General features: G+C 41.6%; 2 pseudogenes across 1 annotated transcript in view; both read right to left on the bottom strand.

Moving 5' to 3' along the window:
* ANKRD20A8P (ankyrin repeat domain 20 family member A8, pseudogene) overlaps window positions 1–18,792 on the bottom strand; it is a 96,148-nt pseudogene that overhangs the window by 22,000 nt on the left and 55,356 nt on the right. The window contains exons 17-22 of the transcript NR_003366.2: window positions 15,807–16,086; window positions 15,000–15,214; window positions 12,869–13,091; window positions 9,386–9,431; window positions 8,163–8,216; window positions 7,244–7,323 (exon numbers count right to left, since the gene is read on the bottom strand). The product of NR_003366.2 is annotated as an ankyrin repeat domain 20 family member A8, pseudogene (transcript). The remainder of the gene's footprint in view (window positions 1–7,243; window positions 7,324–8,162; window positions 8,217–9,385; window positions 9,432–12,868; window positions 13,092–14,999; window positions 15,215–15,806; window positions 16,087–18,792) is intronic.
* On the bottom strand, window positions 3,545–5,017 carry SNX18P14 (sorting nexin 18 pseudogene 14; annotated as a pseudogene).

The following is an 18,792-nucleotide window of genomic DNA, read 5'->3' on the forward strand; positions in this document are numbered from 1 at the left end:
GTAACCCAAGCTGTACCTGTGCATCTTTGAGCCATGGCTGGAGGTGGAGCTGCAGGAATGCAGCCAGCAGTGTCCTGAGGGTGCACAGAGCAATGAGGCCATGAAGCTTCCCCAGGAAACCATTTTTCTCTGCCAGGCCCTAGGGCCTGTGACAGCAAGGGCTGCTGCAGAGGAACCTGAAATGCCTTCAAGGCCTTTTTCCCATTGTCTTGGCTATTTGTACTGGGCTTGTTTTTATACAGATACCCTAAGCCGTCTTGAATTTTCCCCCTGAAAATCAGCTTTTCTTTTTGACGACTTGGCCAGGCTGCAGATTTTGCAAACTTTAGGTCTCCACTTCTCATTGAAATAGAAGTTCCAACTTGAAATCATTTCTTAGGTCACACATAAGAACACAGGCTGTGCAATGCAGGCAGGACACCTCTTGTGCTTTGCTGCCTAGATATTCATTCCACCAGATACATCCTAAATCATCACCCCCAAGTTCATAGTTTCACAGATCTCCAGGGCAGGGTCACCGTGCAGCCACGTTCTTTGCTAAGGCCAATCAAATGTAACCTTGGCTCCTGTTCACAGGAAATTCCTAATTTTCATCTGAGACCTTTTAAGTCTGGACTTCAGTGTTTATCCTTCTGTCAGCCTTCTGATCGCAAGTATTTAACAATCCTCTACAGTGGTCAAATTTTCCTCATCTTGCTGTCTTCCAAGCTTTCCCAATTCTCCTGACCTCTGTCTTTTACCCACTTCTGAACCTGCTTCTACACTGTCAGCTATCTTTATCACAACCTGGCAGTGTGGTAAAAGAAGAAAAGTCCACTTTCAGGGAGAAAATTCATGAAGGCTTCAGTTATTTGCATGAAAAGGAGCTGAGTGCTGGTTGCCAAGAAAAGGGGAAAGGCCCTTGAAGGCACTTCATAGCTCCACTTCATAGCACTAATTTTCTCTATGATCATAAAGAAAAGAGGTTTAACTGGCTCATGGTTCAGCAGGCTGTAAAGGAGGCATAGCAGCTTCTGCTTCTGGGAAGTCTCAGGAAGCCTCACAACCATACCAGAAGGCCAAGGGGCAAGGAGATGTTTCATATGGCTGGAGTAGAAGCAAGACTGAGAGAGGAAAGAGGTGCCACACCTTGTTATGCAACCAGATCTCATGAAAATGCACTGTCACTAGGTCAGCATCAAGAAGATGGTGCTTAACCATTGGTGAAGGATCTGCCTCCCACCCCCACCTCCCACTGTTTCCAAGCAGCAGCCTGCTGCAGACACAGAGTTCTTGGGAAACCTCTACTAGGGCACTGCAGAAGGAAAATACGGACTTGGAGCCCCCACATCGCGGGCTACCACCCTCCAGATCCCAGATTCAGAGACCCACCAACAGCTTGCACCCTCAGTGTGGAAAAGCTACAGGCACTCAACACTGGTCCAGTCCATGAGAGCAGCCATGGGGGCTCAAACCTGCAAAGCCACAGGTGCACTGCCCTAGTAATGGTTTTCCATGAGGCTCTGCCTCTGCAGCAGGCTACTCCCCCTTCCTACTACCCACCACCCTCCCACCACCCTACAGCCAGCCTACTCATTCCCACCCTACCCACCCCTTTTTCCGTCCACACCCACCCCTGCCCATCCATGATTAAATCACTTCCTCCCACTCCCTCATCTTTCTGTCATGCTCTAATCCCTCCAAACCCTCCCAATCTTTGTTTGCTACCCACTACTGAGCCTGCTTCTACTTTTTCAGGTATCTCTATAGCAGGTTGGCTATGTAGCAATAACACAAAACCCCATTTAAGGGGAAAAATTCAAGAAGACTTCAGAAATTGGCATATAAAGAAGCCCTGTGCTAATAGCCAAGACAAAGGGAAAAAGGCCTTGAAGATATTTCACAGCTCTCTCTGCAGTTCTAATTTTCTGTATTATTGTAAATGAAAGGGGTTTAATTGAATCACGGTTCTGCAAGCTGTGAAGGAAGCATAGTGTCTTCTGTTTCTGGAAGGAATCAAGAAGCCTCCTAATTATACGAGAAGCCAAGACAATGAGATATCTCCTAAGGCAGGAGTAGGAGGAAGACAGAGTGAGGAAAGAGGTTCCACAGCCTTTTGAACAACCAGATCTCATGAGAACTCACTCACTATCAGGAGGACAGCATCAAGGTGATGGTCCTTTATCATTCGTGAAGAATCTACCCATACCCTTTTATAACTAAATCTTTTTCCACCTAGGCCCCACCTCTAACATTAGGGAGTATAATTCCACATGGGTTTTGATAGGGACACAGAGACAAACCATATTATTCTGTCCCTGACCCCATGAACGGCATGTCCTTCTCACATTGCAAAATACAATCATGCCTTGCCAGAGTGAGTCTTAACTCATTTCAGCATTAACTCAAACTTACAAAGTCCAAAGTCTCATCTGAGTCAAGGCTACAGTCTCTTTTTCTTACGAGCCTCTGAAATAAAAAGCAAGTTCACAGCTTCTAACGTATAATGATGGTACAGGCATTGTGTAAGCTTTCCATATTCAAAAGGAAGACATTTTCCAGAAAGCTTCTTATTTCTATCTGAGACCTCCTCAACCTGGCCTTCACTGTCCATGTTTCTGCCAGGATTTTTATCACAACCATTTAACCAGTCTCTAAGATAGTCCAAAAATTTTCTCATCTGTCTTCTTTTGAGCCCTCCAAACTCTTCCAACCTCTGCCCATTACCTAGTTACAAAGCTGCTTCCACATTTTCAGGTATCTTTATAGCAATGCTGCAATCGTCATTTGCCATTTTCTGTTTGATTCATTTTGAAAAAGAGGTTTAATTGGCTCATGGTTCTGCAGGGTTGACAGGAAGCACAGGGCTTCTGATTCTGGGAGGCCTCAGAAATCTTTCAATCTTTGTACAAGGCAAAGAAAGAGTGAGTTGTCTCACATGGCAAGAGGAAAACACGCAGAGTAGGGAGGTGACGTAGAGTTTTCAGTGGTCAGATCTCATGAGAAGTCACTCATGATTGTGAGGATGGTACAAGGGGATGGTGCCGAACCATTCATGAGAAATTTGCCTTCATAAATCAATCGCCTTATACCAGGATCCACCTTCCACATTAGGAAATATAATTAAATATGAGATTTGGTGGGGACACATATTCGAATTGCATCATCAGTCTTTGAGTATAAAGACATGCACAGCAGGCTTTATCCAGCCAACTTATTTGAGACTCTTTACAGGGTTTGTGGTCTATAGCATATACACTAAAATATTCATACTTCAAAAAGCAGTAAAGTGGTATGATCATTCTTCCAAAATTTACAATGGTAGTTTAGGCATTCATGGCATGATTTAGTTCATGTTTGCTACTGTTTCTATTCTATCACCATATTAACTGTGTCCTACACAATTCTGTATTCAGCTGGATTTCAGTTGAGCACAAAACCATACTTGTGCTACCACGGATAGCTGGCACTAGCTCTTTGCTAGTGTTATTATTCTGTGTAGAAGGTATCCTTGAACTGGAAACAGTCCACAATCAAATATCTAGTCATTCAACGCTATCGATTACTGGATGACTTTTTGAAAAATTTGTATCTCTTGTTGCAAGAAATGCTGCATCTGTGATTTCATGTCTCTCATTCAAACTGGATGGAAGTGGTTAATTTCCACTGAAGTGGTGAAAGAATTCCTGTTCCTGTGATTCTGACGTCATCAGCCTCTGCATCGCTGTCTTCCCTTCTGCCACATGTTGCCTGCCCTCCGTGACTTTGGTAAGAACTTCCTTGTGTATGTGGATGATGTTCAGGATGTTGGTCTGGTGTCCCTGAGACAGCACTAACAGGTCCATGACTGGGTCCAGGTCCTGCCTGGGCTGATTGGCAAAGAGCTCACTGACAGTGTTGAAGGCATCTGTGGTGAAGTGGATGGCCTGGTCCAGCTCCAAGGCCTGGCTGAGGCTGAAGAACTGGCAGCTTTCTGATGCTCTTTCTTAAAGCCTGTCACCATCACCTGCTTGCATGTCAACTCATTGGCTGTGAAGTTGAGGTGAGTGCCCTGTTGTCCATCTTCTTAGTGAAGCACTTGAAGCCGTCAACCTTGCTCTCCCACTCCTAAAGTTTGAGTGTCACCCTGGGGGTGGGCTCAGGGCCAGGGAGAATCTGGCACTCACCGTCTCATCCTTCTCAGCCTTCCTCTTGCCCTGCCTCCAGGCTGTCTCTTCAGTGCTGGTGGGGCACATCAGGAAGTGACAAAAGATGTGGCACTAGAAGCTGGTCTAGTGGTTCATCCACCAGATTAGGCCCTTTCTGCACTTGAACATAGAAGCCTCCTCAAGAGGGCCTGTGGTCTGCCTCTTGGCACCCAAGAAGCCCACAGTGCTGTAGGAGCCCTGATGCATGGACTGGAGCCCCAAAGGCAGCGCACACCCTGCTCCTGAACCTGCTGCTCATTTCCTATATGTGGCTCCATTTGCAGCACAGTTGTTGCACTGAGGCCTGTGCATGCCAGGCAAGGCCAAGCTGGCTCAAAGAGCAACCAGCCACCTCTGCAAGGGTGTGCCAGGAGCAGGTGGACCAGCCACCAACCTCACTTGCTGCCAGTCAGGGTAAATCAGTTATTCTGCCCTAGAGGTAGGGCCCCAGTGCCATCTGCTTTTCCTCAGGCCTCTACTCCATCAGCTGTCAGGTGGTGGTCACTCAGGCTGTGGGAACCTGGCCATCCCTGTTTCCTTGAGTGGGTGAGGTTGGTGGCTGGTCCACCTGCTCTTGGCACACCCTTGCAGAGGTGGCCAGTTGCTCTTTAAGTCAGCTTGGACTTACCTGGCATGCACAGGCCCCGGGTACTGACAAGCTGCTCCGAGTGAGCTTGTCTTGTCTTGGGCCAAATTCTAAGTCTGGCCAGGGCCACAGAAGGCTGAGTCCCCTGGGTGGTAATCCTGGCTGCTGCAGGGAGGCCCATGGTGCTCCTCCCCTCCCAGGACTCAGGATGAGGTTCAACTGGGACAGGACCCTTTAGGTATGGGACTTGTGCCCCAGGAGGGGGCCTCTGTCACACAGGTTGGCTAAGATGTATGGCATGCTTCTGGCTTCCAGGGATGTTGGGATGACACATTCACCCTTCCCTCCAGGGACCTCAAAATGACCAGCTTCCCCTTTGAGAATGACTTCCCAAGGCCTAGGAGCCATCTGGGGCTGCAGGGCAGCTGGCCGCATGCTGCCCTGGCTTCTTCCATGTTGTGCTGGTCACTCCCACCAAGGGGGGTCAGATGCAGGCACCATGAAGGGTGGTTGTCTCTGGACCTGCTTCTTGGTTATCATGGAGCTGGACTGGGCCTGGGTGAGAGGGCCTGATGGGGTTGTCCTGGGTCATCACGGGGGTGATCAGAAAAGATGCAGAATGGAATTGCTGCGAGGATGAATGAGATGACTGTCAGCACAGAATAGGCACCCAGTGAGTGTTCAGGGATTACCCTCAGCAGCTGCCCAGAGGCCAAAACCACCCACCTGATAGCGACTGTCCCCAAGCCAGGAGAAAAAGAAGAGAGCAGGTCCCACTCACCTGAGTCTGATCAGTCAGCTGTGTTGAGATGTGCCTCTCACCTAGAAAATGGTCCTTCACGCAGAGCCACTCACAGACACGGCTGTGTGTCTCTAACTGCTCCACAACACAGAGGCGATGGGGGCTTAGCAACAGTGACATTGTGGGGTGACACAACCCACCACAATGGGAGCCTGCATGGGTCAACAGGGCCCAGAGTCAATGTCCTCTATCCCCTGAACTGACATGTGTGGATGCAGTGTGTTTGTGCATGTGTGTGTGCCTGTATATGTGTGCACTTATGTGTGTGTTTCTCCTGCTTCTCTGGCCAGGCCTAGCTTCTCCACTCACGGGTGCACCCAGGTCATCACTGAGGGCTCATGGCCAGCATTAGAGCTTCTATAGGTGTTCCCCAATCTCTGCCTTCCCCACCCATGGTGGTCCTGGGGATGCAGACAGAGGAGGGGCACCAGGCACAGCAGAGAGGGCTGGCACCACCTCTAGGTGAAACACAGGTCATGTGTAAAGTTGTAGGTCGGCCAAGCAGTGCTGGATTCGACACATCTTCTCACCTTCTCTTTCCAGCCACCCTCCAAGGTGCCCTGACTCACCTTCTCTGCAGATGGAGGCAAGGAGACTCCACAGACAAACCCCCTGCCTGAGGCCACACAGTGGCCAGCTGGCCAGGTTCCTACTGATCAGCCGCCCAGGACCAGGTTCCCACTGATGAGGCCTCTAATGACCACTCCTCCATTTACCAGTTCCCACTGACCAAGTCCCCACTGACTATGTCTTCCTAACCAGGCTCACACTTAATAGGCCTCATAGGCCAGACCTCATTGACCAATTTCCCACTGACCTGGTCCCCACTGACCAGGTTCCCACTGACAAGACCGCAATTTACCAGGTTGCTGCTCACCTGACCCCCACTGAACAATTTTCCATGGATCAGTCCCCAGCTGACCGAGCCCCCTCTGACCAGGCCCTCACTGACCAGGCTCCAAGCCACTAAGGCCCAACACTGACCAGGCACCTAGTATACTGTATAGGCCCCACCAACCAGTTTTTCATTGTTTATGTTCCAACCCATCAGGCCTCACTAAGAAGACCACCACTGACCAGGTCCCCATGGACCAGGCTTCCAATGACTAGGTCACCAGGTCCCCACTGATGAGGCCTTTACTGAGGAGGCCACAACTAACCAGGTCCCAACTGACTAGGTCCTGATGACCAGGCCCCCTGACCATGGTCCACTGACCAGGCCCCTGAGCAGCGTGCTCAAAGTCTCATTACAATGCCCCCCTCAGCCCACAGACCATCCCTCCCTGTATGTGTGCCCAGAGGTCAGGCCCTGGGGTTTTTTTTGGGACATGGCTTTTCCTCCAAGACAGAGGGAGAGACAGTTGGCCTCAGGCTCCAGGTGCCCAGCTCCACACTCACCCCAAAAGCCCTCTGGGCCAATCTTAAAGGAGATAGTGAGGTGGCCTGGCACTGCCTGGACATGCCATGTAGCCTATTCCTGAGTGTCAGAGTGGGAGGAAGGCAGGGACATTTGGCAGATGAGACATCTTGTGCTGTTGGGCCTCCCAGGGCCCTTCCCACAGAGACCCGATCTACAGACACAGCACAGAGGCTACAGGAAGACTAATGCAGAACCCTTGAGGCTGAGCCAGGGACCACATGAGGACTGTGCCCAGACAGCCAGAAGGCCCTTTGCTAGTTTCTTGGTACCTCATGGAGGCGGCAGCGGTTCTTCTGTTGGGGACCAGTGAGTATGTGCTGGGGAGGGCTGGCCTGTGCTTCCTCAGTGGCTCCACCTCTGCTTCTAAGAAAAATCACTCATTCCATGGCTGGAGCAGAGAAAATACAAGATGAGCTTAGAACATCTTGTTCCAGAAACTAAAAAAGTGCTGACAGAGTAATAAGGACAAATAAAAAAGACATGAAGTCAGCTTGAAATGTCTACCACTGGCCTAATCTTGGGGAATGGGAGCACCAGAATCATGAGCTTTCCCTTCTCAGTTATTTATTGGTTTTACTTCTCCATGTACAGCAAAGAAGAGAAGAAAATAATCATCTGGCAACCATCATAGTAATAACTGTTCAAACACAAGTCATCCATGAAATGCTAAATCTAGTGGGTTCTGAGGAGTAACTAGATATTTACAGAGCCTCAAAATATCTCCCCACAAAATACGGTTCAACTACAAAAAGAAAATTGTCACATTAGCATGGACAAGCCTGGCAGGTACTCCTTAACTCCCCTAAGCAGTAAAAGCTGTAAAATGCAAAGAAGCCTTCGATGACCTTTACTAAAGTATCAATGATGACTTGGTTGTTTGGCTGTTTAAACAGCTGACATTTGGGCAATTTGAGTACGTCAAACTCAATAATACTGGTGTTCATTTGCAAGATCCACTTAAAATTAAGGAGGCTAAAAAACATCATTTAAATTACCCTATAAATTATCATCATACATGTGATACAAAAACATCCTACTTCAGTAAAGATTGTAATGTTATATATTTTATGAGAAACAATTAAAATGTTGTGTAAATAGCCCAGTAATAAAGTTTTATAATCTTTTAAATAATAAAATTTTTCCATAAGACTTTATGGTTAAACATTCTCTTCATTAGATGTGGCTTACCAGTGGATTATAGAGAAGTAAGTAGATGGGAGCAAGTGTCCAACACAGCAACAGCTGGAAAAAAAAAGAAAGAATTATGTTCTTTACCTAAAACACTTCAGTTAACTAAATGTGAGTTTAAATACTAAAGAGTTGAGAACTTTATCAGAGTTAGTAAGAATGAGAAATATGTATGTACATTTACAATACAAAATTACTATTAAATAATTTACACATGACATTAATTCTATTGTGTTTAAATATCAGAGGTTTTTCATTCTTCATTCATGTAATCAACAGCCACGTGCTAAGGTCCTAGAACCAGCACTGGAATTCCAAGATGAAGATGGTATGGGCCACCTCTCAACAGTCATATGCTATAACCTAAAAAAACAGACAGGCAGGCAAGGTCCACATAGTGTCATAGATACTATGACAGGTATACGGCAGGGCACTACTGGAACACACAAAAGGGACATCTATCCCACTTTTATGTCAATATCATGGGCTTTCTGGTGGAGGAGATAACATAGGTTGATACCTGAAGGACAAGGAAAAGCTTGCCAGATAGAGGGAAGAGGCGAAGGCAAAGAGCCTGAGGTGAGGAAGAGCCCTGCGGAGTTCTACTCTGTCCACTTTGGTGCTAGAGCAAAGGGCAGAGTGCGGTAAGTGTCAAGAAGCAAGGCTGAGTAACTTGACAAGCATCACATTGATGTGGGTGTTTTTACTTCATGGTGAAAAATTTGGAACTTTTCCTGAGAACAGATGTAAGCCAATGACACAGTAAATGACAGGAGATTTAAAATGTCACCTGTCAAGTGACTGCTTATGAAGGGTTATTGCCCAGCTAAGGATTTCAAAATGAGTCTCAGGTCTGTTGGCCTTCAATCTCTACCAAAACCCTGAGAACTTGGTGATGGCTTTGTTTTCTGAGAATCGTTTCAGTGTGCTGGCTGACACTTCCATGAGAATGGCAAAACTTAAGAAAGTGTAGAGCCAGTAAAAAATGGATGCATAGACTTCTTGGGAATTTTTTAAGCTATGGAACATGATGAATTTATGGTGCATAAGTACAGTCTTCTCTGTGAAAGATTTTGTTTTCACATCTCGCATTAGATGTGTGTAAGATAAAAAATACTTGACATAGTATCTACTAACCAAACAATGAAAAGGAATGCCATTTGTTATTTACACTTTATTTCTAAAATAAACCTAAATGTAATTAATAAATTTTGGCAACATACTTCTCTTTGTTTCTCTAGTTATCTGTTCTACATAGTCCGGCTCCATCTAAAATAAGTAAAAATAATAATAATGTTTAAGTTAAACAAGAAACATTATCATGCAAATAATGTATCACTTACAAAATGTGGCCTTTAGTATTTTTAGCAACTAGACATAACTTGAAGTTTGCTTAAATAGAAAAATAATCACATAAATAAAGTAAAATTTCTACTTATTTTAAGTTTAGATAACAGAGGATGCATCTGTGTAATGCTGTTTAGAGTAATCGGACAAAAATACAGTTAATATTGGTCTATTGCATATACATGATTTTAGAAAGGTAGTGTTATTAGTACAAAAGTTAAACAATGGCCAGGCGTGGTGGCTCATGCCTGTAATCCCAGCACTTGGGGAGGCCAAGGCAGGCAGATCATGAGGTCAGGAGATTGAAACTATCCTGGCCAACATGGGGAAACCCTGTCTCTATTAAAAAGACAAAAATTAGCTGGGCATGGTGGTGCACACTTGTAGCCCCAGCTACTCGGGAGGCTAAGGCAGGAGAATTGCTTGAAGCCAGGAGGTGGAGGTTGCAGTGAGCCAAGATTGCACCACTGCACTCCAGCCTGGTGACAGAGTGAGACCTTGTCTCAAAAAAAAAAAAAAAAAAAAAAAAATTAAATAATTAAAGTCATCTTTTGCAATGAATGCATTGCTTTGAAATTCTTAGCAAAACTCTGCCCTTTATACAAGTTTAATCCATTTTTTTACATCAATAAATTTTATCTTAAAAAGAAATTTCTATTCTCTACTCATAGTAAACTTTTTAATAGTAAATTTTTCTTGGTTTTTTTTTTGTTTGTTTCTTTTTTTCTAGTTTGTATTCTAAATTAAGATGGTACCTGTGTAGGCTTCTTCCAAGAGTATACTGAGGGAGGCCGAGGTTTGGAGTACAGTGGAACCCATCACACAGGTAGTAAGCATAGGATCCAATAAGTAGTTTTCCAACCCTGGCCCACTCTGTCCCTCCCTGTTCTTATTTCCCAGTGTCTATAGTTCCCATGTTTATGACAATGTGCACCCAATGTGTAGCTCCCACATAAGTGAAAACATGAGATATTTGGTTTCTGTTTCTGTGTTAGTTTGCTTAGGATAGTGGATTCCAGCTGTATCCATGTTGCTGCAAAGGACATGATTTTGTTCTTTTCTTGGCTGCATAGTATTCCATGGTATATATGGAACTTTCCAATCTACCTTGGATTTTCAATCTGCCTTGGATGCACCTGGATTGACTCCATGTCTTTGCTGTTTTGAATAGTGCTGCAATGAACACACATGTGCATGCATCTTTTTATTACAATGATTTATTGTCTTCTAGATATACCCCTAGTATAGTAATGGGATTGCTGCATCCAACGGTCATTGTTAGTTCTTAATTTCCAAACTGCTCTCCATAGTAGCTGAACTAATTTACATTGCCAAAAACGGTGTGTGTTCCCTTTTCTCCACTGCTTCCCCAACATCTTTTTTGTTTTCTTTTTACTTTTTAACAAAAGTTATTCTGATTGGTGTGAAATGGTATCTCATTGATGTTTTGTTTGGCACTTTTCTGATGACTAACAATGGTAAGCATTTGTTAATATGTTTGTTGGCCACTTACATGTGTTATTTTGAGAAGTGTCTGTTCATGTTCCTTGCCCATTTTTAATGGTGTTATTTATTTTTTGCTTGTTGACTTGTTTAGGTCTCTTATGGATTCTGGATAATAGGCGTTTGCTGTATCCATAGTTTGTGAATATTTTCTTCCATTCTTTACGCTGTCTGTTTAATCCTGTGATAGTTTCTCATGCTGTGCAGAATCTCTTTAGCTTAATTAGATCACACTTGTCAATTTTTGTTATTCTTGGAATTGCTTTTGAGGACTTAGCCATAAATTAATTGAGAAGTATGATGTCCAGAAGAGTATTTCCTAGGTTTTCTTCTAGGATTTTTATAGTCAGAGGATGTACTCTTATGTAAGAAAAGCACAAACCTTTTTTTTTTTTTTTTTGAGACAGAGTCTCCATCACCTAGGCTATAGTGCAGTGGTATGATCTTGGTTCACTGCAACCTCTGTCTCCCAGGTTCAAGTGATTCTCCTGCCTCAACCTTCCGAGTATCTGAGATTACACATGCCTGCCAACATGCCGTGCTAATTTTTGTATTTTTAGTAGAGATGGGTTTCATCATGTTGGCCAGGCTGGTCTCAAACTCCTGACCTCAGATGATCCAGCTGCCTCGGCCTCCCAAAATGTTGGGATTATAAGTGTGAGCCACGGCACCTGGCCAAGCACAAAGCTTGTAACATAAAAATGGAAATGAACATTTTAGTGTTTTGTTTAATTCATAAAATGCAATTATTTTGGATTCTACTAAATAATAAACATCTATATGTGGTAAACTGTTTGGATGCCAATCATTCAGTTGTGATTATGGGTGGGAAGAGTTGAGACAGTGCAAATAAACTTTTTTAAAAATGTTTTATATTCAAGATGAAGTCTCACCCTGTCACTCAGGCTGGAGTGCAGTGGCACAATCTCGGCTCACTGCAACCTCTGCCTCCTGGGTTCAAGCAATTCTCTGCCTCAGCCTCCCTAGTAGCTGGGATTACAGGTGCTCTCCACCACACCTGGCTAATTTTTATTTTTTGTACTTTCACTATCTTGGCCAGGCTGGTCTTGAACTCCTGACCTTGTGACACACCTGCCTCGGCCTCCCAAAGTGCTGGGATTACAGACATGAGCCACCACACCTGGCCAGTGCAAAGAAACTTTAAAAGTGACATGGGCTGGATGCGGTAGCTCATGCCTGTTATCCCAGCACTTTGGGAGGTTGAGGCAGGCAGATCACAAGGTCAGGAGTTTGAGAACAGCCTGGCCAATATGGTGAAACCCTGTCTCTACTAAAAATACAAACATTAGCTGGGTGTAATGGCAGGTGCCTGTAGCCTCAGCTACTTGGGAGGCTGAGGCAGGAAAATTGCTTGAACCCGGGAGGTGGAGGTTGCAGTGAGCCAAGATGGTGCCATAACACTCCAGCCTGGGCAATAGAGTGAAACACTGTCTCAATAAAAAAAAAAAGGTGGGGGGGGGGGGCAGTATGAACCACAGCTAAACAAACTATAATCAATTAGAGAGTAAGCCAAAGCATCTCAAACCATATCATCAGTTATCAGGCAATAATATGCAATTTCTAAAACCTAACTTAAATGCAGCTTTTAAAGACATTTTAAATGTGTCAGTTTAGTCACATTTATTGAATAAAGTTAGTAAACGGGTATCTCTTGACAATGAGAGCTCCAGGGAATTAAAAAACGTAAAGTTCCCATTTTCTTTCTGTGTTAACACAGCTAATTATGATCTTTACTAAACATGCATAAGTCAACAGAACTCAGTATTTCACCAAATTAAAAACAAGAATTATATTAGAGAAATGAAACCCAAAAGAGAAACGGTCATGTAACTAACCGCAGTCAAGGAGTTCTTGAAGTTATTTGAAGTCTGTGGGCTTGAAATAGGAATTCTTATGGGTGTTTGGAGAATATATTTTCTGTTGAGTCCTATACTAGTAAGATTTTCAACACAAGGTGACTCTGGGTCTCGCCTTGTAGGAAGAGTGCTGAGAAAATATTTCATCCGCTCTTTCTCCATAAGGAGCTCCATGCTGATCGTTGCTATTTTCTTATTCGATCTGTAAAGATAGCAAAGACAAACACTTAGTATTTCATTTTTCCTCTAATGATTCTTAATGACTTGCAGTTTTTAAAAACTTGCCCTGAGAGCAAACCAAATTATCCACTCAACAGTGTTTTCACACCGAAGATGTGTGAGAGCATACTGTGGTAAGCAATTATAATTTTAACATCATTCTAAAGAAGCACCTGTGTTTCTAAGGTAATTTATACTGAACAAGCAGTACAAAGTAGACAGGGAAGAGAAATGGCTATCAGTGATGTATGGCTCAACAGGTAACACTTGCTGCCTTCTAAAAGGGCTCTACTTGTGAGATTCTGAAGATTCCATTAGAAATACTCGTATTTAAAGGGTAACAATGTGGGAAAAGAATATGTTGATTTGCTTGATTATAAGAACTACTTCACTAGAAATACCTGTATCAAAACATCATGTTGTACTCCTTAATGTAGGTTAAGAAAACTAAAATGAACTACAACAAAAAAATCTAGGAATACTTGTGTTTAGCAAACAAATTTTAGGTTTCACCCTTGTGCATTTCACCCATTATCTAGGAACAATTAACCATTTGGCTCTGAGGAATAATTCAGAACAACAACTCCTGGGGGAGAACTAGATTGGTTGGTTGATGATCAAAAAGAACTAAAGCATGTCTGAAGGCAATTAGCCCCCAGCACTGTGACCAAGGCACTAGAGGTGGGGTTTTTCCTTCTGCCTTCCACACACCCTTTCAGGCTGAACAAGGTTTTTTGTTTTTTGTTTTTTTATACTTTTTTAGGGTACATGTGCACAATGTGCAGGTTTGTTACATATGTATACATGTGCCATGTTGGTGTGCTGTACCCAGTAACTCATCATTTAACATTAGGTATATCTCCAAATGCTATCCCTCCCCCCTCCCCCCACCCCATGACAGGCCCCGGTGTGTGATGTCCCCCTTCCTGTGTCCATGTGTTCTTATTGTTCAATTCCCACGTATGAGTGAGAACATGCGGTGTTTGGTTTTTTGTCCTTGCGATAGTTTGCTGAGAATGATGGTTTCCAGCTTCATCCATGTCCCTACAATGGACATGAACTCATTATTTGTTATGGCTGCATAGTATTCCATGGTGTATATGTGCCACATTTTCTTAATCCAGTCTATCATTGTTGGATATTTGGGTTGGTTCCAAGTCTTTGCTATTGTGAATACTGCTGCAATAAACATACGTGTGCATGTGTCTTTATAGCAGCATGGTTTATAATCCTTTGGGTATATACCCAGTAATGGGATGGCTGGGTCAAATGGTATTTCTAGTTATTTTTTAACCACTTTCTGAATTACACTTCAAATTCCTTAATAATTATTCCCTATTTCACAAGGATGCCTTTCTGTAACATCTTGAAAATGTTACACAAATAGTCTTTCTTGAGGCACCCTCTAGTGGTAATACTAAAGATCACAATCAAAAAAGATTGTGCCCAGAGTAGCAGTATCACTTGACACTTTGGGTTTAGGTTGTGATCTACCAAAAAATAAATTAAACTCATTAATATTTCTATTTAGGGAAATTCTGACAAGCAATTTTATAACAAGATCACTTTATTAATTATAAAGCTTCAAAAATACTTAGTGACAAAAACTAACAGATCAGGTTAACTACATGAGACTTTTCAGGGGAAAAAAGCCATACAAAAGCAAAAAAAAAAAAAAAAGGGAGAGAGAGAGAGAAAGAAATGGGACAGAAACTATCCTTGACTAACATTTTAAAGGTAAGATTATTTACTAACATTATTTTCTGAAATTACATTATTAGATTAGCATTCACTTCCTACTAATCTCCTGAAGCCATCTCACTAAAAATTATGCTTTCAAAACAAATTAATGAGCTGAATTCATTTTCTATGAGTGTACGTTTTGACTTACTTCATTAATTTTTTTGACATGGAATTGTTATCTTTCAATGCTGCTGCAAAGGCTTCCTTATTATATTCTTCTAATTCGGTTGTAACCTCTTCATAAGCAGTTTTCATTTCTGAGAATTTACATTCCACATCTTTAAGTGTGAGTTCCTTCTTACTTAGTGAAGCCATATTATCCTTGTTTAACTGCTCTAATTGTTTTTCATATTGTGCTCGTTCCTAAAACAAAGGAAAAGAATACACTTTTAAAACAATTATAACCTAATTATTGTATGTTTGTTGCCCTTCATTTTGAGTCAGTGATTCAAAGAGCGATTTTGAATATGTTAGTAAAAGAGGCTGAAGCTTAAAATATTTATCAGCAATATCAAAACTAATAACTGAATTCAGAATTGTCTGATTTATAAAAATTCAAAATCATAATTATGTTAGTATTAATGTAATCTGGTCATATAAAAAGTAATAGAATCCATTCATAATTTTAAAAAGTGATTAATGAACGTAGCTTATGACCAATTCAAAAGTGTCACATAATTTCTAAATCACAATTTTTTCTTATGCCAACTGATCTTAATCATCAAACGACTCCACAGTGAGTCGTTACTCTGAAAGATTGATTTTGTTATAATAATAATGGAAATGTAAATATTTAAAAGAAAAAACAGATGTCATTTTTTTTTCTAGAACTCTACAAAGCAAATTGCTGCAAGAAAGGCAGAGGAAACATAATATATACATATCCAAAATAAAATTTGCGGTGAAATAAATGAAAGCACATTACAGATAAACTTACCTGATTTAAAAAACTAACCTGTAAGTGGATTTCTACTAATTTTTCTACTGCCTGCATTGCCTTTTCATCTAGCTCCGATTTATATTCTTGTAGTTTACTAAGTTCTACCATATTGTTTTCCATATGTGTCTTAAGATTTAATATTTCTTCTTTCAACATCTTTTTATCCTCCTCAAGTTTTTCATTCCTGTTGTACTTTTTTCATAGATAAAAACTCCTGTTGAAGAACTTGATTGTCTTTAGCCAAATTGACACATTTTGAAGATAAAGCTTCCTTCTCTGCCGTAAGATCATCAAACTGCATGAATAAAATAATACAGCTTGATAATGAAGTAGGCTGAGAATAATCTAATACAAAACCAATAGCAAATTTTGAAATGCATTTACTTGCAATAAAATGTTATCTGTAATGCAGTGGATTCTTCAAATGTGAACCCTTAAATTACTCAGAATTTTAAGAACAAAGTTAAAGTTACCATGAGTCACAGAAATATATTATTTACTATCATCATCTTTGCCACAGAACTTTTGCACTTCATCTTACTTTTATTTTTCTGATAATTCATTTTTGTTCCTCCTTAGATGGCACTTAAGTTATCTCTTAGTAAAAAGTGTCTAACCACCTTCCCTCATTATCATTCCTCATAATATGTCAAAAAAAGTTGCAGAGATATCATATTGAGTTATTTAGGCCAAAGTCAATAAATGGCTCTCAGAATAAGACTTTGAAAATAATATAACACTCTATACTAGGCATGGTGGCTCATGCCTGTAATTGTAGCAATTTAAAAGCCTGTGCCAGAAAGATCACTTGAGGCCAGGAATTTGAGATCAGCCAGAGCAACATAGTGAGACCCCCAAGTCTACAAAAATTTTTTTTAAATTAGCTGGGCATGGTGGCTCATGCCTGTAGACCCAGCTAGTTGGGAGACTGAGGCAAAAGGATGGCTTGTACCCAGAGTTCAGGGCTGCAATGAATTATGACCACATCACTGCACTTTGCCTGGATGACAGACAAAGACCATATCTCAAAAAAACACAAAATAATGAATCCTGTAAATAAGGATTCTGATGCCATAAGCCTTTCCTTAAACTGCAAATGTTTCATGCTAATTTGAATTGCATTTTAAGAAGTAATGATTCTTGGGGTAAAGGCCATAGAATACACACCCAGAAATAAATCCGCATATTTACGGCCAACTGATTTTGGACAAAGGTGCCAAGAACATACACTGGGGAAAGGACAGTCTCTTCAAATGAATGGCACTGAGAAAACTAAATATCCATATGGAGAAGAATGATACTAGCTTCCTATGTAACAGCACATAATGAAATAAACTCAGAATTGATTGAAGACTGAAATGTAAGGCCCAAAATTATGAAACTACTCTAAGTAAATATAGGAAAAATGCTTGAGGACATTAGGCTGTACAAAGATTTTTATGGGTAAGACATCAGAAGCATAGGCAAAAACCAAATGATAGACAAATGGTATTACATTAAGATAGTTTCTGCCCAGCAAACTGAGTGAAGAGAAAACCGGTGGAATGGGAGAAAATATTGTCAACTATTCATCTAATAAGGGACTAATATCCAAAATATACAAGAAACTCAAAAAACTTGACAGTAAAAAAACATCTGAGTTCAAAATTGGGCAAAATATCTAACTATACTTTTTCTTTAGAAAAAATAAATACAAATAGCCAATAAATAAATTTTAAAATGCTCAGTATCACTAATCCTCAGGGAAATACAAATCAAATCTTCAATGTGATACAATCTTGCTTCAATTTGAATAAATTGCTATCATTGAAAAGACAAAAAAATAACAAATGCTGGTGAGGTTCCAGAGAAGAGTAAACTCTTACATGCTGTTGGTGGGAAGGTAAATTAGTGCAGCCACTATAGAAAACAACATGAGGGTTTCTCAAAAAACTAATAATGGGACTGCCAAGGGATCCCGCAAACCCACTATTGGGTATTCAGGCAATAGAAAAGAAAACAATAGATCAAAAAGATACTTGTACTTGTATGTATATTGTAGCACTATTCACAATAGCTGATGTATGGAATCAACCTGCATGTCCATCACCAAATGAATGGACAAAAAACTGTGGCACACAAACACAATGGAATACTATTCACCATATAAAGGAATTCAATCCCGTTATTTGTGGCCATGTGGATCAGTCTGAGGGATGTTATGTTAAGTGCAGACACAGAAAGATAAACACTGCACAGTCTCACTCATGTGTGGGAGCTAAAGAAAAACTGAGGGCTGGGCAACATGGCTATTGCCTGTAATTTCCTAGCACTTTGAAAGACCAAGGCAGGAGAATCACTTGAGGACAAAGTTCCAGAGCACCCTGGACAACATAGGTAGATAGCTCTACAAAGTCAAAAATCAGACAGATGCAATGGTGCATGCCCATAATCCTAGCTGCTCAGGAGGCTGAGGTGGGAGGATCACATGAGCCCAAGAGTTTGAGGCTGCAGTGAGCTATGATCAAGCCACTGTCTCTAGTCTGGGTGACTACAGTTGCCCAGAGCCCAGACTAGACTAGCAAGGCCCTGTCTCTTAACAACAACAAAAAAGCTCACAGAGGTAGGGGAGGGGAGGATGGTTAAGGGATACAGAATTACAGTTAGATAAGAGGAATGAGTTCTGGTGTTCTGTGGCATTGTAGGGTGAATATGGTTAACTATGATTTATTGTATATTTTTAAAAAGCCAGAAGATTTTGAATGTTCACAATTCAAAAAATGAAAAATGGTTGAAGTAGTAAATGTACTAGCTAGCTTGATCATTACACATTACATACATGTATCAAAATATCACTCTATTGGCCAAAGTTATGTATACACGTCAATTAAAACAAAAGAGAAGCTATATTTATCCCATTAAAAAAACAGAATATGGGCAATCCTTACAGACTTCCTTCTAATGAATAGAATGCAGTAAAAGGGATATCACGTGGCTTCCCTATCTCAGACTGCTTTCCCTT

This window comes from Homo sapiens, chromosome 2 (assembly GCF_000001405.40).
Source record: "Homo sapiens chromosome 2, GRCh38.p14 Primary Assembly".
Classification (NCBI taxonomy): Eukaryota; Metazoa; Chordata; class Mammalia; order Primates; family Hominidae; genus Homo; species Homo sapiens.